The 25,066-nt window shown below is 41.6% G+C and overlaps 1 long non-coding RNA gene across 8 annotated transcripts; it reads right to left on the reverse strand.

Moving 5' to 3' along the window:
* Positions 1-15,204: 15,204 nt before the first annotated feature.
* LOC102724253 (uncharacterized) lies at positions 15,205-17,275 on the reverse strand. Of its 8 annotated transcripts, none has more exons than XR_007064585.1 (5): positions 17,098-17,186; positions 16,885-16,937; positions 16,654-16,755; positions 16,402-16,522; positions 15,205-15,289 (listed from the first exon to the last, which is right to left on the reverse strand). It is a non-coding gene; the product is annotated as an uncharacterized LOC102724253 (long non-coding RNA). The 8 variants fall into 8 exon arrangements; XR_932124.3 differs by lacking the exon at positions 17,098-17,186 and adding an exon at positions 17,187-17,272 and having other exon boundaries at positions 15,218-15,338; XR_932122.3 differs by having other exon boundaries at positions 15,218-15,338.
* Between the last annotated feature and the right edge of the window lie 7,791 nt (positions 17,276-25,066).

Genomic DNA, 25,066 nt, shown 5'->3' on the forward strand with positions numbered 1-25,066 from the left:
GCAGAGGTCCCATCCTTAGTTCTATCAGAAAAGCAGAAGAGGAATTCCTTTTCTGATGGAACAGTCCCTAAGACCCACAAAAGGGAGGCTCCAATGGAGTTTATTTGCTAGTAGAAGAAATGTGGGGAGTCCTGAGGCATAAGATGAACCCCAAAGGACCACTTGCAGGTGTGAGAAGCGATTACTTTTCCAAGGGTTCATTAAATCACACCACTTCGCTTGGAGAGGGTCTGCATGGCAAATCTCACTTCCCTTTTTCCAGGCTAATAAGCAGAGGCTGGAGCGGCAAAGGCCCTGGCCGAGGCCACCCAGGCTGCAGTGGAAGCATGGGGTTTACAGCAGAGGCTCCTGTCCCCCCATGGGCTCAGGCACAGGAATTCCTTTCTCGGTTTCAGCTGGTGAGGGTTTGAGGTTTCTCTTTTTGTTGGACTCACTGGATATTGAAACAACCAAGGCAATGGTTTGTTTTTCATGTCCCCAGATGGAGCTGGCCAGTGCCTGGGGCAGAAAACAATAAACAGCATCGGGTATGGTGTGTACTGTAAGGAGGTTGGTGGGTTGGATTGGGGCTTTTGTGGAACTAAATCCACCCCATCTGCTATTCTTGCAGTTATTTTGTGGCTTCATCTCACAAGCTGGGGGCTCCCCAGCTTCCCTGGCTAGGCTGATTTTTATTTTAAAAAAAAACAAAAATTTCATCTATACTTCTCAGTAGCACATATTTGGGCGTTTTCTTTTCTGATCAACTACATTCGCCAAGCCACACGTTCTGTGATAAACAGAGCCTACCGAAGTCTCTGCTGCCTAGGGTTTTCCTGGATCAGCCCTCATATATCTGTAACTAAAAAGCCAGGGGGAAGCTCATTTGACCAATCACTCATTCTTTTGTTTGTTCATTTTTTCATTCATTCAATGCATATTAAGCACCTGTTATAAGTATACTCTTCCTGGGGCACTGTGCTTGGGAAGACCATGGAAAATAAAAGGAGACCTGGCTCTCTTCTGGTAGAACCGATTCAAAAACTAGGATAGATGAGGCTCTGATGGAAGCAAGCCATCACACGAGAACATGTGGCACGAGGGCTGGCACCCCAACAGCTCCCTGGCAGATCACAGACACACGGGCATCACGGAGTTTACCTGCAGATTGAGAACTCATTTCCAGTGGTCTTCAGGGGTGGGTGGTGATAGTTCTGTCACAGTTTATAGTCCCAGTTGATCAGATAAGTTATACATATTATATAGATGTCACCTTTAGCTAATGTTATAGAGGTAGCAACTATCAGCATCATGATTTATAAGCATTACCAAATACAAACTGCTTGTCTGTACCAGAAGATGCTGGCTCAGATTTTCTTTGTTAAACTAGGTTGCAATATCTATTGAAAAATCTTTCCTCAGGAACCAAAGGACAGGACAAGGGATGGAATTCGGGGCCTTTATATACATATTACAACTGAGCCTTTGACCTACTGGGATGTTGCATATTCATATTATCAATAGTAAGAAGGCTGAGCTTTGCAGCAGCTTTGAAGACCTTGGTGGGATAGAGGGCTAGAGAGGGTCTAGAGCTGACCATACTGTCTGTTGCTTGGGCACCCTCTTTTCTCAACCTCACTTTTCCTCCAGCCTAGTAAGTTGTAAGGTCTTATGGCCTTGGACCAGAGAAGCCCTGGGTCAGAAGATTTGATAGCTAATGCCATGAAAAGCAGGAATGGAGTCTTTCCACCTCCACATCCCTAGTACAGCATAGGGCCTGGCAGACATGTGCATACACAGTGTAGAGCAAATGAGGGAGGCACATGTCTATGGATTGTGTGTGAAGTAAAATGGCCTTATTTCAATTTGCCTGTGTGAGGAAGGACTGGCAAACCAGGTTTTTCTCCCAGAAAACCTTCTCTTCTGGGTCAGGGGCAGGCTACCAGAGAACCCTAGCCTCTTAGTTACAAATGTCTAAAAGTAGCTTGGGAAAAGTAGCTTGCAACCTGGAGGATCTGACAGAGCCATGGATATTCAGACAGACCCACAGTATTTCCTACTTTGGATCAAGTTCCCTGGGAGCCCACGGAGCCAGGCAGCCTGTGTCTGAGGTGGGTCCAATTCATTATTTTTGTTCCGTGTTGTTTGACATTACAACCTTCAGAGTGAATCTACGTGACTGCTCATCTTGTCATCACTCTCAAATTATTTCTGTGAGGATTCCTTGATTTTCCCCAGTGTTAGACACAAAACTCCTGAAGAGAAGGATATGCATTGTTCAATTCTTTGAGTTCTAATTTCTGATTTTCTCAGTTCAGTTCTTAGTACAAGGTTCTGTGGCTTTAATAACAAGGAAGCTCTAAACAACGTTTAATTCATGCATTGAGTACAGCCTTCTCTCGCAAGGAAGCCCCTCTCCCATTCCTGACCAGCCATGGACTCTCTGCTTCCTCTTCCCCTAGAAGCCCTCTAGAAGTTTCCAGGCCTTGTGCACACACGTTTTTGCTGGGCCCTGAGTGCTAGAAGCTTCCACCTTCTCCTGGAAGTGAATTCCAGAGGTAGAAAACCTCCGCTTAACCTCTGTGGAAGTACACTATGCCCTCTGCAGCATAATTTTCTTGAAAATATGGATAAAGGGAGGATAATGTGCCAGTAGAAAATTGAGGCAAAATAGCTGATGGGCCAGCAGGCAGTTCTGAGGAAAACCATCCAAGCAGCTCACTCGCTCCACACAGCTTGACTGGTGTGGTCTGCAGCTTGGACCCCAGTGTGGTGCCCCATGGGAAAGCCATCTCTGGCTTGCAGGGGTGAAGGAACACTAGGTTCTGGCTCTGTGGCTCTGGTGCATCTAGGGTTCTGACTCGAGGTGGGTGCGGAACAGGATAAACTTGCACACGGCACCAAGGTAGGCGTCTATCTACCCAGGCGGTCCATTTCCAGAGGCCTCTGCTCCTGTAACACAACCCATGGCTGGAAGGCCTTGGGCTGAGGACAGGAAGTAGCCAGCTGGTACGTGTGTCAATGTACGACTTCAAACTCGAGTGAGAGCCTGTTTTAGGTACACAGGGATGGGGGTGCATGTGCTCCCCTCATTGTCAAATGCTACTTCCCCAGACTAATGGCTAAGGGGACAGAGGTAAGATATTTAGCCTCACTTCATTCTTAAATCAGGCCAGGTAGGGTTGTTCTAAGCACTAGAAGTCCATGCCACATCATGGTGCTCATTAGGAGGCATCATGATTTAGGATTCAGGAGAACTGTGTTTCATGTGGGCTCTGCTGTGAAAGCCAAGCAAGCTGCACTGTCTCTTTTTTTACATTTCCCCATTTATAGAATGCAGAAGAAGGAAAAGTTATATCTGGCCCCTCCCTCTCTCACAAGGAGGAAGTCTAAATGAGAAGATCTTGAACAGCGAGATGCTGTGCCCTTCTCCCCAGCTCCCTTCTCCACTCATGTTCACGTTCATTGCCTTCTGTGACCTGCTGGTTTACGTGTTTCTGAATTAACTATGGACATTAGGGTGTGCTGAATCCAACTGCAATGATTCTATCTTTTCTTGCTGGTGAGGATTGTGTTGCTAAAAGTTATACATACTCTTTTTCTCTTAGAGTGACCAACTTTTTAGATTTGCATAGGACTATGGGGATTCTGGAAAGTGGCACTTTTAGTGGTAAAACCAGGACAGTCCTGGGCAAACCACAAAGGTTGGTCATCCTACTAGTAACCCAGGAGAAATAAGGCAGAGAGCAGAATGCTCGCTCTTCTGCTACCAAATCTCAGCTTACTTAAGGAGCTGTGTTTTGGGAGATAAAGAAAGGAAGATTGATTTATAAGCTAATATTTTGATTCTCCATTTCTCAACTCCAATTTGAGTAGAAATTTCCCTGCCCATTCGCTTTACAGTAAATTAGCTTCGTGGAGATATGGTTAGGGTTCTTTATGAAAGACCCTCATCGCTCACTGGGACTTGCATGCCCTGAGCAGAATTAAACACCCTTTCCTTTTTCTTTTTTCTTTTCTTTTCTTTTTTTTTTTTTTTTTTTTTTTTTTTGAGACAGTCTGGCTCTGTCACCCAGGCTGGAGTGCAGTGGCATGATCTTGACTCACTGCACCCTCCGCCTCCTGGGTTCAAGCAATTCTCCTGCCTCAGCCCCCCCAGTAGCTGGGATTACAAGTGTGTGCCACCATGCTTGGCTAATTTTTGTATTTTTAGTAGAGATGGGGTTTCACCATATTGGCCAGGCTGGTCTCAAACTTCTGACCTCAGGTGATCCACCCGCCTCAGCCTCCTAAAGTGCTGGGATTACAGGCATGAGCCACTGCATCTGGCTGACACGCTTTATTTCTATTATTCCCATAATAATGATTTCTTCCCCCTTCTAGTGTCTTACTGTCTTACTACACTATTATTTGCACTATCATTTTAATGGCCTGAAGGCTCAGCATGTCCATGAGCTCATCAATGTTGCATATACCCCGGCCACCAAACATAAAGACGTGAAAGAAGCAAGGCTGACATCAGCCCTAGCAGTGCAGCCAAAATTGGTGAAAGCTACAGCTTCCATCGATTGTTGATCACAGATATGAATAAGTAGAGACTTAAGAGGCTTAGACTTGACAAAAATGGATTTCCTCTAGCCCTTGGCAACTGAAACTTAAAAAGCATTAAGAGGTGCCAAGGTCAGGGAGAAACAGAAATGAAGGAATGAGTTTGGAAGAGCTTAAGTTTGCCTGGTGGTAAATATTCAATAATTCATTCTTTGATGAAATACTGCCCTGTCCTTTTTTGGGTATGTCTCCTTCATAGGAGACTGGGTGAGGTACTAGAATAAAATAGTGAATGTAACTTTATCCCTGCTGTTGTGGTCTTAGTTTAGCAACTCCAAATTGGTAATCAGTATATGTGAACTTATAGTTTAGCAATAAGCAAAAATAGATTGAAAGGTAGAGGCTTTTAAATAAAACCTGCCCCCAAACCCTGGCTAATCTTTAGAGACTGCATAGCCAATAGTTGAAAGCCGTGATATTTATGTGTTCCCAGATGAGACAGTTGATAGCCTTCAACTATCAGTGATGACAGACAATCCATTGGGAACTTGATAACAGATACCATGTTGATGGTGTTCTGTTCTTTCATAGTTGTTTCTGCATGGAATAGATGTCTCCCTTTTTCATATCTCATGAGTGGATGCTCAACCCATCTTCTTCCAGCTGAGAGGAAAATGAGCAACAGCCATTGGAAACAACATGAGCTTCCTGAACACAGGAATATAAACCATGAGAGGATAGCTTAGAAAAGTATTTCCTGAAATAAAAGGATAAAACCACAGAGAACTTTTGCAGTCACCAAAACCCACAGACTTAACACAATCCACATAAGAACTTAATTAGGACACATGCTTGTATATTTACAGAAAAAGAAAGTATGACAGCAAAACAAAGTTTTGGCCAGATCATTAATGCATTTTGAGATTATTTCAAAGGGGAGCTAGAAAGCATACTTGTTGCCTCGGAAGACTTCTTGGTATAGTTAAAAATCTTGAAATCCCAGAGATAATAACAACTTATGGATCAACTGGAGTCAAGTGGGGACTGGGCAGAGGTGTGACTGATGGAAATCGGTGACTAATTTATGTCACATGCCACCTATAACACTGGCACGTGGGTTAGTGTGGGGATTTGAGACCGTATGGCTTTCATCCAGGTTAAATGACCCACACTTTTCTCTGCACTACCCCCTCATCTCCCTTAGTTTTTCACAGTGCTCGAAGAATTAATGGTAGAAGTTGCTCTGCTGAACTGAGGAGCCAGGGGGAGATGACTAAGTGGCTAGAATGTCACTCAGAGTCACTGGGAGACTCCAGAAGTCAGGGACTGGAATTTGGTTTTCCAAGTAGATCCCCTAATCCAAACATTGTACTGCTTCTGTCATGAGTGTGTAGGTGTCACAGGAACACATCTACAGTAGGCCATCATCAGAAAAACTCTTTGCAGGGACCTTGACATAGTGAAATTGCTCCCTGGTAATTAGCTTGAGGGTTCTGAGGAACAAATCTATTCTTAGAGTCAACCTCTTTGTCTTCTGGAAGCCAGGAAACAGGGTTCTAATTTCCATCCTGATTACATTTAGCTGTGTGACTTTCTGGATTTCAATTTTCTTTCTGTAGTATGTGGAGTTGAATCATATTTGTAATCTGTTAGATCCCTACCAGACCTAACATTCTATGATCTTGGGGTATTTACAAACCTATCTGGAATATATAAACCTCTTCTTGAGTCTATTATTGGACAACAGCAAAGAAAAAAGATGGAGCCCTGGTTCAGCAACTCCTAGCAGAATTGTTTCTGAGGTTGTTGCTTTAACTTTTGCATGAGGTGTCCAGTTGTCTTTCTCAGGGAGCCAGCCAAATGCCAGCTGGAGGCAGTTTCAGGAAAAAAGATGATGCAGATTTTAACAATGCGATTAAAGCCACCAAGTTTTGACAGCCCTATTCTCAGGGTGAAAACAAAGAGGGATGGGAGATAAGTGTCTGAGCTGATTTTGATCCTCATGGCAGAATGGTCTCATTCTGTTTTGTCCTAAAAATCAAACTGGAAGATTTAGTCAATCATACTGTACATTGGGAGGTAGACTTTTAGTTGCTACAAGCCTTTAACCTCTTAGAAAGTTTACTCACATGTTAGAGGAAAATATTTGCTTATTCTCAATGTTACTGGGCATCATATGCCCACTGGTAACACATTTCAATACTAGACTTGACCTTGGCTATATATCAAATTATTCAGTATGGCTTTTTTTTCCTTCCCAAGATAGAGGTGAGACCTGGCCCTCCACTTTTGTCTTTCTTGCCCTAGTGAAGACTTTCCTGACCAGTATTGGCTCCTTGAAAAATTGTGATGTACACAAAGGTCAACTTGACAGACTTTCCCCTGTAGTCCCTCAGCCCTTCTGATAGGATTACATTCCTGTGATGCCATTTTTCAAAAATAAGCTTTTAATTTTAGAATAGTTTAGATTTGCAGAAAAGTTGTGAAGATAGTACAGACAGCTTCCATCTACCTCATATCCAGCCTCTCTCCCCTACTGTTAAGATCCTTCATTACTATGGCATAAATGTCTCACAATTTTAATGAGAAGATATTGATATGTCATTAACTAAAGCCCATACTCCATTCAGATATTCTCAGCTTTTACCTAATGCCCTTTTTTACCTAATGCCCATTAGGCTTACCTAATGGGTTCCAGGTCCCATCCAGGATACCACACTACATCTAGTTGTCATGTGTCTCCTCAGGCTCCTCTTGCTGTGATGGTTTCTCAGACTTTTCTTGTTTTTGATGACCCTTGACAGTTTTGAGGAGCGCTGACCAGGCATATTGTAGTGTACTTTTTAAATTGGATTTGTCCGATGACTTCCTCATGATTAGATGGGGATTATGGGTTTTTGGAGCAAGACCACAGAGGTGAAGTGCCATTTTCCTCACATCATATCAAGGGTACCTGCCCTTGTTGTGCTTCTTTCTTCATCCACTCCTTACTTGTTGCCTTCCGAGGCATAGGCTTTGAGCTTTCTAGACAGTGTCCATTCTGAGTACCACATACGATATCAGGTAACCACCACTACCTCCAGAATCTATTCCATGACTTATCTTGGTTGATAAGTCCATTAACCCTGGTCACCTGGTGGAGGTAGTGTTTGTAAAGTTTTTTTCCACTGTAAAGTTATTCTTTTCACCCCTCTTTTATACTGTACTCTTTGGAAGGAAGTCACCAAGCACAGCTACACTTAAGGAGTGGCGGGACCTATGTTCCACAGGGCAAAGTAGCAACATAAGTCATTTTGCATCGGAGATTCGCCTGATGCCACTTGATCGCTTAGATTTGCTTTCTACAGACTGGGCCTCTTCAGTTTGTATCCCAAACATAAACCCCTTCTCAATGGCTCTTCTCACATGGAAAATTGAGTATCTGGTGTTCTACTCTGTACTTGATTTGATAACTTCTAGTTATTCTGATGAACTCACCCAAGCTTGCATAGTACACAGGGATCAGGGCATCATCCTTCCCAGATTGCAGAGGGATACTAACAGAAACTCCCTTTGCAGAAAATCTTTAAGCCAAGGAATTATGGCTAGAAAGAAGCTTGTTAAACACAAGCTACTTCAACAGTGAAGTTTGTGTTTAAGAAGCTACTTTAACTCCTTCTCCCTTGGCTTCAGTCACTGTTCTGTCTTCTGTCTTTCCTTCTATAACCCACAGGCTGTTTCTCAAGTGCCCTTGTTCTTTCTTCATCCACTCCTTACTTGTTGCCGTTCAAGGCATAGGCTTTGACTTTTCTAGGCAGTGCTCATTCTGAGTACCCCATGTGATGGTATCAGGTAACCACCACTACCTCCAGAATCTGTATTTGCAGCCTGGCTTTCTCCCCTAATTTTCTGATCTACATGTGAAAGTATTTACTAACCTTTTCATGCAAATGTTGTACAGACACCTCAAACTCAATATCTGGAAAATGGTTTTGTGATTGTGCTTCTCTGGCCTGCCTCTCCTCTTACATTTCTAGTTCTTTTTTGATGACCCCATTACCTATAAATTATTTCAAGAGAGGACCCTGTTATTATGTATGAGCTCTTCTCCCCCCACCATCCACATCTATGGTTCGTTAACATCTGTTAGTTATGAATCTTTCAAATTTGTTTCCTACAATTTTACCTTGGGTCCCTGTCATATCTCCTATGGATCCCTTCTCATGATCTCTCCTTACTCAGTCCTTCTCACCTTAAATCTTTCTCCACACTGCAGGATATCTTTCTAAAATGACAATTATGTTCTTCATATTGTCAAGAGCTTCATTCTAAAGATCAAGCCTGGCCTGCTGGCCACTGTTCTAAGCCAGTTGAACAAGTAAGGGCCTGTTCTGTGGGCAGTGCTAGGCATCATACTGTGAGACGTGGTGAGAAGTTACACTTGCCCATGGAGAAACAGAGTAGGGAATACTTGAGCTGGGCCTGCTTAATTGAGAGGAGAGCTGAACAATGTTGAAATTTCACCTGGTGAAATTGAAGACCGTAACAAATGTCTGACAAATTGAGTACCCCAAGTCACTTTAAAGAGTCTAGCAAAGTGGAGAACGAGCTGCTGATTTACCCAAATAATTTGTTTTCTTCCTGAATCATCCAATTTTCATATTGGCTGAACTGCCAGAATTATAAAACTCTAATTCACTTTGCTCTCCAAAGCATTTTTTTCATTCTACTCTGAAAAGACTGTAATAGATGTATATTTTAGGTTGTATGTTCCAATTGAGTAGTATAACTTGCTTTGTGCAAAGCCCACCATTATACCATGAATATGTGAATATCCAATGAATAGAATAGCTGCTCAAAGAATATTCGTGGAGAGATTATTCACTTGGATAGAGTGATTTTAAGCCTTTTATAGAAAGTCTAACAGAGGGCCAACTGGTGATAATATTTATATTTTGCATTGCCTCTGAGCTGATGAGGCTGGTAAGCATGGATTACTAATAATAACACCAATGATACTTTTACAGTCTTGTGCTGATTAATGTGCAAAGCCCTTTACATACATTGACTTATTAAAGTATCACACATCTATATGAGGTTGATCGTATTATCCCCTTTTTATAGCTGAGAAACTGAAGCTTAGAGTTTAAGCAATTTACCTGAGATTATATAGTGAGAAGTTGCAAAGTAGGGAAACCAGTCCGGGCAGGTTGATCAGAGGCCACACTCTTAGTTGTTATGCTGGGTAATAAAAGTGGTGATTTAAAAATCCCTGGGCCGGGCGCGGTGGCTCACGCCTGTAATCCCAGCACTTTGGGAGGCCGAGGCGGGTGGATCATGAGGTCAGGAGATCGAGACCATCCTGGCTAACAAGGTGAAACCCCGTCTCTACTAAAAATACAAAAAAAATTAGCCGGGCGCGGTGGCGGGCGCCTGTAGTCCCAGCTACTCGGGAGGCTGAGGCAGGAGAATGGCGTGAACCCGGGAAGCGGAGCTTGCAGTGAGCCGAGATTGCGCCACTGCAGTCTGCAGTCCGGAGTCCGGCCTGGGCGACAGAGCGAGACTCCGTCTCAAAAAAAAAAAAAAAAAATCCCTGAATTTTATAGTTCTTTACAGAGCCCTTCCATACGTACCATAATCACATCCTAATGACATTGGTGATGAGGATGATGGTGGTAAGTACTCTAACTCCTAGATGTCTAACACCTTGTGAGTTTCTCCTGCTGCTCAATTGTAGTCAAGCCGGAGTTACCATTACTTATGTGAGTATCTGCTCTAACTGTAGGCCTTTCATACTCTGGAATATCTTATTTATTGTGTAAGTAATAAACATTTCTTTATATAATTCCATTATGTCTACAATCCTGTGTTTTACATGGTAATCTCTTAATAAATGCTTATTGAATTGGATTTCTTTTATAGATGATGGTACTGAATACTAGAGTTAATGACACCCAGCAATATTAATTTTCCATGTAAATTATGGGGCTTTATTTTTTTAATCCCTTCTTCTATAGGGATTGACCTTATCGACTGTCTATGTACTTATCAAAAGGCTCCAAATTGTCTGAGCTGATGAGGGAGGCAAGATCAAGGATTGATAAAATTCAGATAACTTTAAAACTGAGTTTTTTCAATGGATACGATTTCCTTCCTGGTGATAGTAGCGGTGTTTTCTTTATTGTCATTCCTTACTGGCCAAGTCCTATCAGACATTGTTACAAAAGTACAGGATTTCAATTCTCTCTTTAGCCTTAAGTTATTTGTTGCTGGAAGAGATGCTAACATAAGTAGGAAAATGGTTAAAAGTAAAGAGAAGAAATAAGGAGCAGAACAAAAGGGTGAATGGAAAACCAGCAACGTCTGCATCCACTCTCCTCTAGTAATAAAGAGGCTTACCGTGTACTTCCTTCATGCATAAAGAGGTATCTGTGGCACTCTGGATGAGTGCCCAGAACCAACAGCCATTGAAGAGACTGGCTGTCTTCTTGCAAAGTAGCCTGGATAAGTCCTCTTGATGTCAGGAGTGGTGGCCATTGTTATTCTTTCCCATGGGATAGAACGAGAGGCTCAGTAAGCAGAGCATGAACTGAACTTGCTTGGCGGAGGAATATGATACCTGTGTTCGACTATTGGCAGTGTGACTTATTGTGTGAATTTGGCAGTGTAACTTTCTGTGTGAATTATGCAACCTCTCAAATGTCAATCTCCTCATTTTTAAAATGTGCCTAAAATAAATGTGACCCAGAGCTGTTGTGAGGATTGGAAATAATGTATGCAAAGGTCAAGGATGGCAAATGGCTTATGTTCAATATGTGTAGCTATGTTTTCTGTATGTTTTCTAGTTTAAGAACCAATACTGATGATGGCCTCTGTCAATTCTAGCCACTGACTCCATACTCATCTCTCACTTAATATTCCCCAAATAAAAATTGAAGTTGTAAAAAGATCATTCTCCTGAGACTTGGGAAAACTGGCTTCTCGATTTAGTTCAATCTGAAGAGCATATCAGTTTTAAACATGGTTCCCAGAAAGTGTGACTCCATCTACTCCAAGAATCTCCCACGCCAGGGCACATCAGGGCAAATTCAGGAGCATGGAATCTGCCAAACCTTCTCTGTCCCCTAATCCCAGTCTATGATTCTTGCCCCACCCTGCCCTCTGGGCTAGTCTGACCTCTGTTTTTCACTCCACATAATATTTGGCATTTTTATCACCAGGGCTTGAGCAATTGGGCAAAACCTTTTGGCTAGAACTGGGCATTATTTCCAAGGAGGTTTCCTCAGTGAACTGCTTGACACCTCACTGGGTACGAGTGGGTGGTTTTGACAGCTGCAGGGAGAGGTGCCGTGTCCTGGGGTGGGATGGGTGATGAATACGCCATAAATCCCCAGTCTGCCTAGAGCATAAATCTGAGGGCTGTACAAGTTCCGAGGCAAGGAAATTGGAAATACGGCGCCAGGTAAACAGACCTGAGTCAACAGGAGCAAAGAAATAAGTGTTGTAGCCCTGCCGTCCACAGCCTGGGGTTGGGGGTTCAGAGAGCTGGATGGCAGGCTGCTTAGGAGTCATCTTTGGTTTTTATGGTTTTGTGAGGTTAGGGAAAGAAAATAAATGCAAGGCAAGGGTGGGACTCCTTCTTGCAGTGGCCGGGGCAAACACTCACAGCTCCATGGCACCCGGCAAAGTTTCCAGGATGGCTCAGTGCTGTTGGCTCCTCCTTCCTCCAGAGAAGTGATGAAAGGGCCGCTAAGCTGCCCCACAGGTTACTGGCGGGCAGGTACCTGGTGAAAACACAGGCTGCAAGTCAGAATGCCTTGGTTCCAGGCCCCGTGTTGCCACTAATCAGTGACGTGGTTTTAGGCCTCCTGACTCCTCTGAATGTCAGTTCTCTCATTTATAAAATGAACAAATGCCCATATCATACCTACCTCAGAAGCTCAAATGAGATTATAGATGTCAGATAATTTTGTACATGCCTTGTTGTGTGAAATTGTCAGACTTTGTGTGAACATTTATTAATAATATCAATGAGCACTTTTTCTTTTTAGGTGCTTGCCACAGTGCTAGGTGACATACAGGGTTGACTGATTTGCAGGACTCAGTGCAAAATAAAAATGTGAAGTCTCCCTCTTTCAAACAGAAGGAAAATCGTGCAGTTAAAGGTACTAAAATAGCTTTTACTTTCCTCCTTGATCCCTTTCTACCTGTCAATGTGGTTTTTATCTGTTATTTGGTGTGGCACGCTTGGGTATGGGGATACCTGTGGATGAGTATGGACCCTCACCAGCTCCTTTGATGTTGTGGTCCATTGGCTGCTGGACCAATGTGCCATGTCCTGTCTGCAGTGGGGAGGTCAAAACAGGCATCTCCCCTTCTCCAACCCATGGTGGACTGGTGATATGGTTATTTGTCCCCCCACGAATCTCATGTTGAAATGTGATCCCCAGTGTTGGAGGTGGGGTCTGATGGGAGGCATTTGGGTTATGGGGCCAGATTTCTCAAAAATGTCTTGCTGTTCTTCCTGTGGTAATGAGTTCACATGAGATCTGGTTGTTTTAAAGAGAGTCTAGACCCTGCTCCTTCTCTCTCTCGCTCCCACTCTTGCCATGTGGCTAGCTCCCCTTCACCTTCTGCCATGATTGCAAGCTTCTGAAGGCCCTCACCAGTAGCAGATGCTGGCTCTATTCTTTGTGTACAGCCTGCAGAACTGTAAACCATTTTTTAAAATAGATTACCTAGTCTCAGGTATTCCTTTGTAACAGTGTACACAGACTAATATGACTGGTGACCCCTGTGCTGGGACCCACTATGTATCTGGATGGGGTGGGTGAGAAGCTTGCCTCTGCTGAGATGCTAAATAAACACACTCTGGTTCTGCTAGCCCTGGGAAGGTGTCACCATACCGTGTTCTGGCAGGCATAGGCCTACCCTGATCCTCTCTGTACCAGCGTGTGGGACCCGATTAGTTGGGGGTGGGTGACAATGAGACAGAGACCAGGACACCAGACAGTGGGTAGGTGAGTGGCCAAGAACTTGCCCTGGGAGGTGGTAGGAAGCAGAACCATGGTGAGCCAGGCTCTAAGGATCCTGGGGCATGCTCCATTGTCCTATTGGACTTCACTCACAGAAAACAAATTCAAAGATATAAACAGTTTCAGGACTGCGACTGCAGAGCCCAGAACCTCCTGTGTGGGGGCCCCTTTTGAGCAGCCTTATTGTGAGACTATGTAGGGCCCGTGTCTTGAAGCTAGCCCAGGTGATTATTTCTCGAGGCTAAAGGCAATTCCGTAAGAGAGCTTCTCTTAACTCCCATTCAGTAGAAGAAGAAACTTAGGCTTTAAGTAGCTTGCATCAAGAATGTAGAGGCAGAGGTAACATTTGCCCCCAGGTATAATTTAAATGAATCCAATAGGATATCTCTGGTATCAATAAATAAGTAAGTTGAGCTGTTAAACCATACTTTCCTCAGGGCTAGATTGGTAAACTAATACGGGCGTGTCACTAAACCCGTCAATGAGAAAAGTCATGGTGCATCCTCTGTCCAACAAAGGACAAACTTCCAGCAACACTGTGAAGAGTCTGCACTGCTTGATGAGGAATCTAACACCCAACATACTTCCTGAAACTTGTCTCAGTCATTAATTATATTCGTGCATTCAGCCATTCAGAAAACAATTATGGCGTTCCTGTAGTAGGCAAGAATTTTGCTTGATATTTCTGGGGAATATACAAGTGATTAAGATCTCCTCTCAAGGAGTTTAATTCTGCCAGGAAACTTGCAAACACTATTGTTAATGTAAGTAAGGAAGTGTCCTAAGGGAGGAAACAACTATTGCAGTGGGGTGGGGGATTCAAAGAACAGAGGCCCCTTGGAGGTGATGGAATAAGACTCCTGGCTGGTGCTATTTAAGATGGTCTTGTGTGAAGGTTGTGAGGAGAGATCATGAGGTGGGTATGAAGGAGGGAACAGCAAGGGCAAATCCATAGAGGTTGGAAAAGCAACAGCTTGTTCTGGGAACTGTACCCCTCCAATTCCAAGCGTGTGTTTCCATGTCCTTACCTGACCCTGCTCCTTCACCGCGTTTGGTTGATCTAGAGGTATGCTTCTCTGCGAGTCTTTGTTCCAAACAGATTCTGGGAATTAGGGTGTTGAGACAGAGGAGGGGCCCCCTTTTAGGGCCCTGTAGTCCCCCAAGCATAGAAACCAAGGAAAATCCTGAGTTCTTTCAAGGGAAATTCCAGGCACCTAGCTAGCCCTAAGAAGTAAATGTGAACTTGATAAACAAGAAGGTAATAGTAACCTAAAACAATAACAAGGAAGTTAGAATCAGGGGATGCTTGGTTTCACTAGAAACTAAAGATAATGTAACCAAACACAGGTTCAGTCACATGCCATTTGCAGGGTCCAATTAACACGAGTGAGGTCTGGTATAAAGAAAATAACTTTTTATTCCAAAGCTAGTTTAGGAGAAGAAGAAAAGCCTTCCTGCTGTAAGGGTCTGATTTGCTTTTGCAGGAGAAAGTAAGTGCTTTTAAAGATGGGGGTCTACACAGGAGCAGAAGTGAGGAGGTGTGGGGGGGTCCGCATACTTGCTTTGGTGCTTTATGTATTGGGCAGTCAAGTTGGCATCTTCATGGGCAGGAATACATTGTAAAAATGGCCAAAACCTCTAGTGGGCATACTTTGGGTTGTAAATCATCTTTTATCTCTTGAGGCAATCTTCTGGTGGGTGAGAGTTCTGCTCCAGAGCTTCTAAGCACACAGTTTGATGAACTTGCCCTGTAGAGAGTATCTGGTGAGGAGGAGGTAAAAGGCTATAATTGCATTTCTAAAGAGATACGTAGAAAGTGGAGAAAAGGAAGGAAGAAAAGAAAAAGAGAAAAAATGAACTGTTAGAAAAATGGGGGTAATTCTTATGATAACATATTAACATATGTCCCCAAGTTGTTGTTCAGAAACCCACACCCCCACCAATTGGATCCACTGGCACGTAGACCTCAGATAAGAGAGACCTGAAGACTAAACTCTGACCACCATTCTTGTAAATTTTTTCCCAGGGGTCCTGGAGGGAGCCACACCCATGAGCCAGAGCTAACATTATTTTCTGCTGACTCCAAATTTTTAAACAAAGCTTCTCTTCCTCAACCAATTGAAAATAAGAAAATCATTGAATCTACCCAAGATGTGTAAACCCACGCTTCAAAATATCCCACCCTTTTAGGCCAACACTAACGTATAACCTCCATGTATTGATTTATGATTTTGCCTGTAACTTCTGCATTCCTGAAATTTACACCTGCCTTTCAAAACCCTTACTTGCAAGCCATTGAGGTCAGGATATAAGAATTAGCTGCCTGTTCCTCCTTGCTTGGTGCCCTGCAAATAAACAACTTCCTTCCTGTGGCTGCAAAATCTCAGTGTGCACATCTGGTCTTACTGTACTGAGTGAGTGGACCCAAGTTTGGTTCTATAACTGTATCTCTTGCTATTGTAGAAGCTGTGGGCTGGCACTCCTGAGAGCCCTAGGTAGTGGTGTTTCCTGACATGTAGGGTATGCCATATGCTCAGAGAGAATGAATGAAAGTGACGGGATAAGCAGAGAAGAAGAGGCAAGAGGTGGGAAGGCAGGAGAGCCTTATTCCCAGTTCTTCCCAAGGCCCGGAGGTTGCATCAGCCTTCTGTTCTGTAGCCCTTCCTCCCAGTGTCCATTAGGTCACACTCTTTTACCTAGATCACTTTGAGAGGAGTTTGTGTCCCTTGAATTCAGAGACTTCTTTCAAATACAGAGGCTATTGCAATGGTCTAAGGGAGGACTCAGGAGAGGCTGCTACAGGGCAGGGGAGAAGATGGAGGGGAGGGGGCTGCATGGAGGAGCCTTTATGGAGGCTCACATGATGGACTGAGCTCTCAGGATGTGGCAGTTGTGGATGCACGGAGACGGGCAGGGATGATGATGGACAACACCCAGATTTAAGGGATCACTGGCATTGGGAGGAATGACTAAACACAGCACTGTTAAAAAAAAAAAAACATTAGGTTAGTTTAGTTTTATGCTCTAAGGAAAAAGAGCTGTTCAGACATCCATAGTCTTAACTTTAAAGCAGCTGGAAATGTAAACCCATGCAGCAGGTGTAGGGCATTACACGCTGAGGCCCTGGAGTCAGACTCTTCTGCATGTGGCTCCTGCTCAGACGTCCACTAGCTGTGCAGCTCTGGATACATCTCTCTACACCCCATTTTATTGTCTGTAAAATGTCATAATATCTAATTCAAGATTGTAATACGAATTAAATGAGAAAGGCACTAGTGCCTAAAACATAGTAAAGCCTGTGAATCTTAGCAAAAACCAAAACCAAGCCAAAACAGAAACTTACGGATTACTGGGATAAAAATGTCTCTTCTTCTGGGAAATCCTATTCTTTATATCCTATTAACACAAAGAAATTGAGGAAAGTAATCCTAATATGTACTTAGATTTCTTAAAATGTTGAGATTATATTTTTATCAGTAGACAGATATTGTGAGCCATTTGTACACAATGTAAGTTCCAATAATTCATAATTAATATCATATACCCCATATCCTACCTATTCAAATTTCTAGTTTTTCTCAGGACATTAACAAAGTTAGTAGGAAAAATGGACTACCATGGCCGCAGATATCACAGAGAGCCCACCTGCGCCAACATCAGGAAGCAGTTTTCTTTAGAAAACAATTCTTCTAAAAATCAATATAATAGAGGTAGTTTAAAATGCTTAAAAGAGAAGACATAAGTCGAATGTTTAACTGTGACTCTAAATTTCCATTTATTCCATTTAGTATGCTTTGTATTATAGAACATAAAAACTGCCCCCACACCAACCTATGGAATGTTGACACCTGAGATAATGGAAGCTTCCCATAATTCAGTATTCCACTATTTTCTGATTGTACTGAAAGAGAAACAACCAACGACCAGTACAAGATTTCACATCTTCAAAAAAAAAAAAGAAAAAGAAAGCATTTGCGCTTATTGAAATATGTTTTTAAAATGGGATGAGGTGGAATTCTTTCCTTTTGGAAAATGCATTTCTAGAGTTACTGAAATACGTGCATTTATAAAATGTTGATAAAAGTTTTCCTCTGCATTTTACCAGAAGGGAGGTAAGGACTGGTAAGATGTGATGTCACACAGACTTGGCTTCTTTCTGTTTTATGCCACCAGAGAGTGGGTTCTCTTCTTTTTAGCTTCTGCATTTTCTGTGGGTATTTTTTAGTTTAATTATTTACTTCACCCTCTTTTGCCTCTGCTCCGGTTTTTTCTGTTGTTCTTTTGTCTAAAGATTTTTTGTTTTGTTTTGTTTTGTTTTGCTTTCCTGCTGCATTTTTTTTTCTGGCTTAGTTTCCATTTATATATGAGCTAACTTAGCTGACCACCTTGCCCGTCTCCTTAGAATCTTCCTTTTCTGCTCCTTCAACTGAATTATCCTTCTGTTGAATTGCCCTGTCAGATGTAAGTTTCCAGGAAGACAATGCTCTAGAAATTCACACTTATGGATTCATAAGAAAAACAGAGAGGGCAAATAATGGCTTCAAAATATTTTGATAAGTCTGTACATTTGTTTGTATAGTCAGCCATGGATTTCCAAGAATGTGGAGGAGGAGGAAAGGGAGGCAAAATTTAATGGGCCAATTGTAGGAAATTGACTTACACAGCTCAGAAATATGATCTAGAGGCTTTAACAAAACACACACTGGGGTGATGCTATAAATAACTGGCAGCATGTGGAGTTCATTAAGAGGAGTGGTTCAGGCACCTTGGAAGGTAGCTGCAAGAGCAGGCACACTCCAAGATGTGCCCTTTCACTCACAGATTTCACAGATGTCAAGAGTTTCCAGGGGCTCTGGTCTGTCTGTGTCTGCCCTTAGAGAGAAGCGTGGCCATGCCTCGCCCTTTGCGAGGCCTGGCTCAAAGTGACCAGAGCTTGAAGAGCAAATTACTGGTGTGTTAATAGATTTAGCAGAGGGATTTGGACTCGGGATTGGTGATTTTACCATCCTAATTTTTGTTCTCTGCTCTTTGTCATAACTGCTTAACATCATGCTAAAGTTTGTAGCTGTCTATCAAAAGAGCAATTGAATATAATTTCTGATGTTAGTTACCAAAATGGGATATTTCAGGGATTTAGCCCAGCCGCAAAGTGAAGAACATAAAAGTCTTACTTATCTAAATTCTTTTTTTGATGCTTAGTTAACTTCTTACCTCTGCAGCTTTGGAGTATTCCCTGAATTTCTCAGTGCACCTCATCACTTTTTCCTTTGAATTGTTTTGGTCTCCAGTGTCTTGTGTTGTAGAAAGGGAATGGAGTTTTACAGACCCGAGTTTATTGCTTGGCTGTGACACTTGTTATGCTATGTTGCATAAATTCCAGATACTATAACCTTTTAGACAGGGATTACTTAATGAGTTTTGATTATTACACTAGATTTATATTTTTACTTAATTTTCACTTCAACTGAATAGGAGATCTTATTACCTTTACATTTTACAGGTGGGGAAACAAACTCAGAAAAAAAGAACTTATCTAAGATCACATGGCTTGTAGCCAGTAAGGCTGTCAGGATTTGAATGTGGGTTTTCTACCCAAGCGCTTATTGATCCAGGTTAACTTTTCTGAGCCTTAGTTCCTTCATCTTTGAAATGGAAATAGTTGTGTAAGTGTAATGATTCAATGAGCAAGACAGCCTGAAGTGTTGGGATCAAAATTTGTCTATATGTAATTCCTTCCTTTCTCTCCTCATTAATTAGGGTTTTGTCATATGCTGTTACAGATCTTCTCATGTTTATAAGTGGAATTTTCACGTAGATCCTGAATTTTCTGTATGTGGTGGCTCTAGCTCATGCAGACTCTACGGATCCCATCACACAGCACAGTGGCTATCAGACAGCACACGCATACAAGGATGGTGACTTAATTTGGATGATTGTGATGTCTCTTTCTCTGCTTTTGGATACTCCCAGGAGCCTGGCATTATGCCCCTCTGTGAGGCTAAGGCAATCTGACGTTGTCACATTCCTTCCTAAATGAAAGTTCGTAACTACAATATTGCCACTGCAGGAAATTAAGTCTATGGAACAAGCAAGCAAGTCTCCAAACTATTTGGGTATTTTCTTCGAAGACTCTTGGGAGTTTGATCTTCCCATTAACTATCCCAAAGTATTATAGTATAAAAATAGGCAAAAGTGGGAATATATGCAGGGGCAGGTAAGTAAGGTATTTCTTGCCTGTCTGAACTACTTGCCCATGAGAATTTTTGAGTGTAGTTTTTGAGTGAAGCATTTTAGCAAAAGAAAGAGATATGGGAAGTAAAAGAGGAGAAAAGGAGAATGTTCAAGAAGATGGGGTATCTTGATGGGTATATTGGCCCATCATCAATCTTTAGCATTTTCTAGCAGTTAGGGATATTAGATGGTAGGAGTATGTATGTCTGTGGTAGGGGTGGGGCAGAGGGCACAAGCCAGTGATTCTCAATCCTGGCTGCACATGAAAACAACCTGGGGAGAATGAAAAAATGCTAGTGGCCAGAACCCACCTCCGGCCAACTGAATCAGAATCTCTGGGAATGAGGCCCAGGAAATGAGTATTTAAAACCAGTTCTTAAGGTCATTCTCATGTGTTTCTGGGGTTGAAAACAACTAACCTATAAGGGTTGGCCAGGCCAGGCCCAGAAACAAGCTGTTTTTCTGGCAATATCTCTGGGAGAAGTTGTTAAAAGACTCTTGTTAGTCTTGAAATATAGGAAGGTGGATAACATCAGGGACCTCAAGAATGTACATTTTGTTTATCTTTTTGGAAGAGGTAACTACCATCAAATATATTTGTTGACAATAAATTGATTTCTTGTAGGAACCATACATGAGAGGTCTAGGGTTCAGAGGTACTATGAAAGTGTAGAGAAGATGGAATAAGTGATACCGGAAGTAAGCTTGCTTTCTTTGTCTGTTGCACATCCATACCTCCAGAGTACAGCTCATTCTCAGCCTTTCTTCTCTGATCTTGAAAATAAGCGTACTCATTCATTTCAGCCTCTCCATTCTGCTGTTACTAATGGTACTGTTCTATTGTGAAGAAAAGCTTACGTTTTCAGTTTTTCCTTTGAAGGTTATTTCCACCTGTTTTTGGTGGCTACAACTAGCACCATTTTTATTTTCTTTAAAAGTCAGTTAAAAGGTAATGTGATGGGCATGGGTAGGAATCAAAGAGAACTGTTTGAATCCCTCATCTGTTAGTGAATTCTGTGATGTTTGGTAAGTTTCTTAATCTCTGAGCCTCAGTTTCTTAGTCTATAAAATAGGGAAAATATTACTTACTTGAAAAGCCTGTTGAGAGGTTATGTAAGTGAATGAATGTTAAACATATAGGCCGATGTCAGGAATATGATAGTTGTCTGGTAAGTGTTGGTATTGCATTTTTTAAAAAGTACATATGTTCACTTAACTTCAGAGAGGAATAACTATGTTAGATAGCTATAGAAAGAAGTTGGAATAAAAACACCACACTTAAAGAAATTCTATTCACATTTGAATATAGAGCACACATTATGCCAACTTCACTGGCATAGCAGACTACTTTCTATTCTCTAATTCTCCCATCCCTCATATCTACTAGACCTGTTTGGTCACACAACTTCCAGATGTGGTACACAGTCCTTGCAATAAATATGTAATGAAATCGTCGATGGCTATATTAAGCCAGATAAATCAAGTTCTAATTCCAAGGTATTTTAGGTTTTTTTGAGGACCTAAGGTAAGGATTCAACTATTTGTAGATATACAAATAATAGTTGTGTATATATAACTATTGAATGAGTATCCATTATTTGTATATATACAAATAATAGTTGTGTATATATAACTATTGAATGAGTATCCATTATTTGTATATACACAAATGCTGTTGAGCTATGGAGTATATTAGGTGGGTTCATACAATGCTACAACAGCCAACTCTAGAGACATTCATTGCCTTCTGCTTGTAATTTTTCTATTGATTACAATTGGGCATCATGTTCAACTTTGTCCCATCTCTGATCTGGACCAAATAAACTTAGGTAACTTTTTCATAGTGGGGTTAAACTAAATTGAATTTGGGAAAATAGATGAGATAAAAAATTAGTAGAATAGAATTATTTCTCAGTCATTTCCATTTCTGAGCACCCACTATGTGTCAGGCACTGTGCTCAGTTCTGGGTGGGGAAGCTAAGGATGATGAAATGCTGGCAAGTGAGCAAGACACTAAGGCAGACCCAGATGGCTGTCCAAAAAGGTATTTCTAGCTGCTCCTTGGATCAGTTTTACAAAGATATTCATGTGTGTAGTTATAGCAGCCAGGGTTGTGATGGGCATAAGGGTTGCCAATTGAGAATGTTTTCTGCCACCTTTTATATGAGGAGAGCAAAGACGTCTGGAGACGTCTTAATGAGATTTCAATTTGTGAGATGCTTGGCATTGAGTTATAGTAGGTGGCAGATGGAGTTGCATGCCAGGTCAATAACTGAGATTTACAGGCCCACATATATTTGGAATTTCCTTAAGGGCCATTTCTGGAAAGGTGGTCTATCCTGGGAGAATTGTGATGCAAATGGGGTTAAGTCATCAGATATCCTGTTGTTGCCATGTCATTAACCATTTCTGATATTCAAAAGGAAAGGAATGTAGATCTATGAAATTCTGGTGTCTGCCTCTTCAATAACAAAAGAGATTTGGGGAAGAAGGAGGCAGTTTGGAGTGCCCAGAAGTGGTAAGGACAGTACTCAAATCCATTTGATCTCTCTAACTCTTGGAGTTCATCCAAAGGAAATTTTCCCAAGGGTCTTTGGAACCAGAATTCATTCTATTCCAAGTTGTTTCTAAAGAAGTCATTAAGGAGTCTTCCACCCTTTAACCTTTTTTGTATTCACCAAATCTTTAGTGAGAACCAAGAATATACTCCTTGGATGCTCTCTGGTGTGGGTAAAAGAGTTATCACAGATCACGTGTAAAGGAAAACCTTCCTGTCAAGAATAGGTCTGGTGATCTCTTCCCCAGAGCTTCTTGCCAATGTATTGACTTACAGAACTACAGATAGGATGCTTCAGGCCCCCAAAATGCTGACCAGGTGTGTTTTGGTGAATGAGTCATTGTCACACAATAGGAAATTACATCAAGTCAGTTTATAATTAATATTCTGTAAGTAGTATTTGCTGCCTTGCCCAAGGGAGGATTTCTTGTTTAAGAGTTATTTTCTGCCTTGTATTATAGTTATGTACATTCTTGTCTCAACTAATAAATGATAAGCTCTCTGAGAGTTGACTTCTACATCTTTCTATAGCCTTGATGTATTGAGTGCTAATTTTGTTTGTGTCTGAAAACATCAAGGTAACTTTAAGCAGTAGGAGAGAGGAAATTAAGAGGACATGCAGGCCAGGCGTGGTGGCTCACACCTGTAATCCCAGCACTTTGGGAGGCCGAGGGAGGCGGATCACAAGGTCAGGAGATCGAGACCATCCTGGCTAACACGATGAAACCCCGTCTCTACTAAAAATACAAAAAATTAGCTGGGTGTGGTGGAAGGCGCCTATAGTCCCAGCTACTCGGGAGGCTGAGGCAGGAGAATGGCGTGAACCCAGGAGGCAGAGCTTGCAGTGAGCTGAGATCGTGACACTGCACTCCAGCCTGGGCGACAGAGTGAGACGCCATCTCAAAAAAAAAAAAGGACATGCATATTATATTATTAGGTGATGGTAATGGCAGTGGAGATAGAGAGCAGGTGTCCTACCCTTTTATTTTGGTAATAGACATAGGGGGAGTTATGTGGGTTGACTGTGTATAGAAGTTCAAATCTTTAAGGTGTTTGCTGCTGAGTCACATCTCACATCCTTTTTCTCTTTTTAAATTAATATTTCTTTCGGTTTTTTTTTTTTTTTTTTTTTTTTGTAGAGATGGGATCTCACTTTGTTGATCAGGCTGGTCTTGAACTCCTGGGCTCAAGCAGTCATCCTGCATTAACCCAAAGTGCTAGAATTCACATCTTTCTTTTTGACCAGCTTTCTTGTTTGAGCTATAGCATCTCAAACTCCAAAATAAATGAAGTTCAGCACTGTATTGCAATCTGTGAGAAATTCTATGTTATATGTTGGTCCCTGAGCCTCATTGGCTTATAATTCGGTAGAGAATTTGAGTCTTACTGCCTTGAAATCACTAGATAACTAGGCGAGAATGTCCTTCAGGTTTCCAGGAAAGAGAGTTATGAACCAGGATTGGATAAGTTTAAAACATTTTAAAATTAGGGCTCAGATGTCCTCTTTAAAAAGGAATGGCATTTGGATGAGTGAAGAACCCAGGGGAAGTATTCTGTGAGAAGAGAGGGGATGTGACTGTGCTGATGATGGTCTGCCCTGTTCAAGGCTCTTCATTCTCATAAACTTTAGTCCCTTTCAGCAAAAGGTACATCTGAAGACACCAGGCATGCCCTGAATATGTTACAAAGAGGCTGCATACACAAGAAAGGAGACTACCCACTCTCCTAAAACTTCTTCCTTAAAAATGACAGATATGACCATTTTTTGGACTGGGAAAGAATAGAAATAAGATAATCCATTCTGGAACTAAAGTCAGAAACTGTTAAAATAATCTACATATGTTTAAGTTTTATTCAGTAACTTGTGTCATTGCTTTTATGAAAGGCAGCTATGCCTTTGAATGTACTGGTCTCTGTAAACTTACATTGATTTTAAGCTTTAACTCCAGTGTCACCTACTCTGTAATGCCTTCTCTGGCCCCAAATCTAGCACACTTTATTTGTTACTGCATCTAGTCTCTCTTAGAACCTTTTGGGTCTTACCATCATCAAAATGATGACCTTGATTGCATGAGTTTGGCATGAGTCTGCTTTCTCATTGGACTTATAGCTTCTTTAAGTAAGGCTAGATAAGGCCTCTCTCCATAGTACATAGTAGATGCTCAATAAATTTATGAGGAAATAAATATTACTTGGAGCTTTTTTTAGATCTAATAATTAGGCCATGGGGCTGACCCAGTATGGCATTTCTTAATGTTATTAAGTAGAGGAATATTATAAAGGTAGGTTATATTTTATAATATTGTTAATTATTTTATAAATAACAAATTTAAATAAAAAAATTTAAATTACTATAGTATTTGTTTAAATTCAGTCATTCACTTACCACCTTCATGATTTTATTGTATCTTTTACTGTGTGTCATCATATTTAATCTTTTTCTTTTTGTTCAGCTCATTTAAGTTAAAGACAAATTTTAAAATGAGGAACATGTGCATAACTTGCCATAAATAGAGAAAAATATTCAAATACATTAAAATATGAAGTGCTAATTTCATGTATTTCCTAAAATCATTTCTGCATAACTAGTGGTAAGTGGAGCACTCTTGAGGAAACATGGCTCCAGGGCTTTCATGAAGCAACCATTTTCCTTACTCTAAAACATCCTTACTGTAAACATGATGTCAATATTTCTCAGATTTCTCCATTAAAGTACTATACATGGCAGAAGAGAGGA

Source organism: Homo sapiens, chromosome 15, assembly GCF_000001405.40.
Source record: "Homo sapiens chromosome 15, GRCh38.p14 Primary Assembly".
Taxonomy (NCBI): Eukaryota; Metazoa; Chordata; class Mammalia; order Primates; family Hominidae; genus Homo; species Homo sapiens.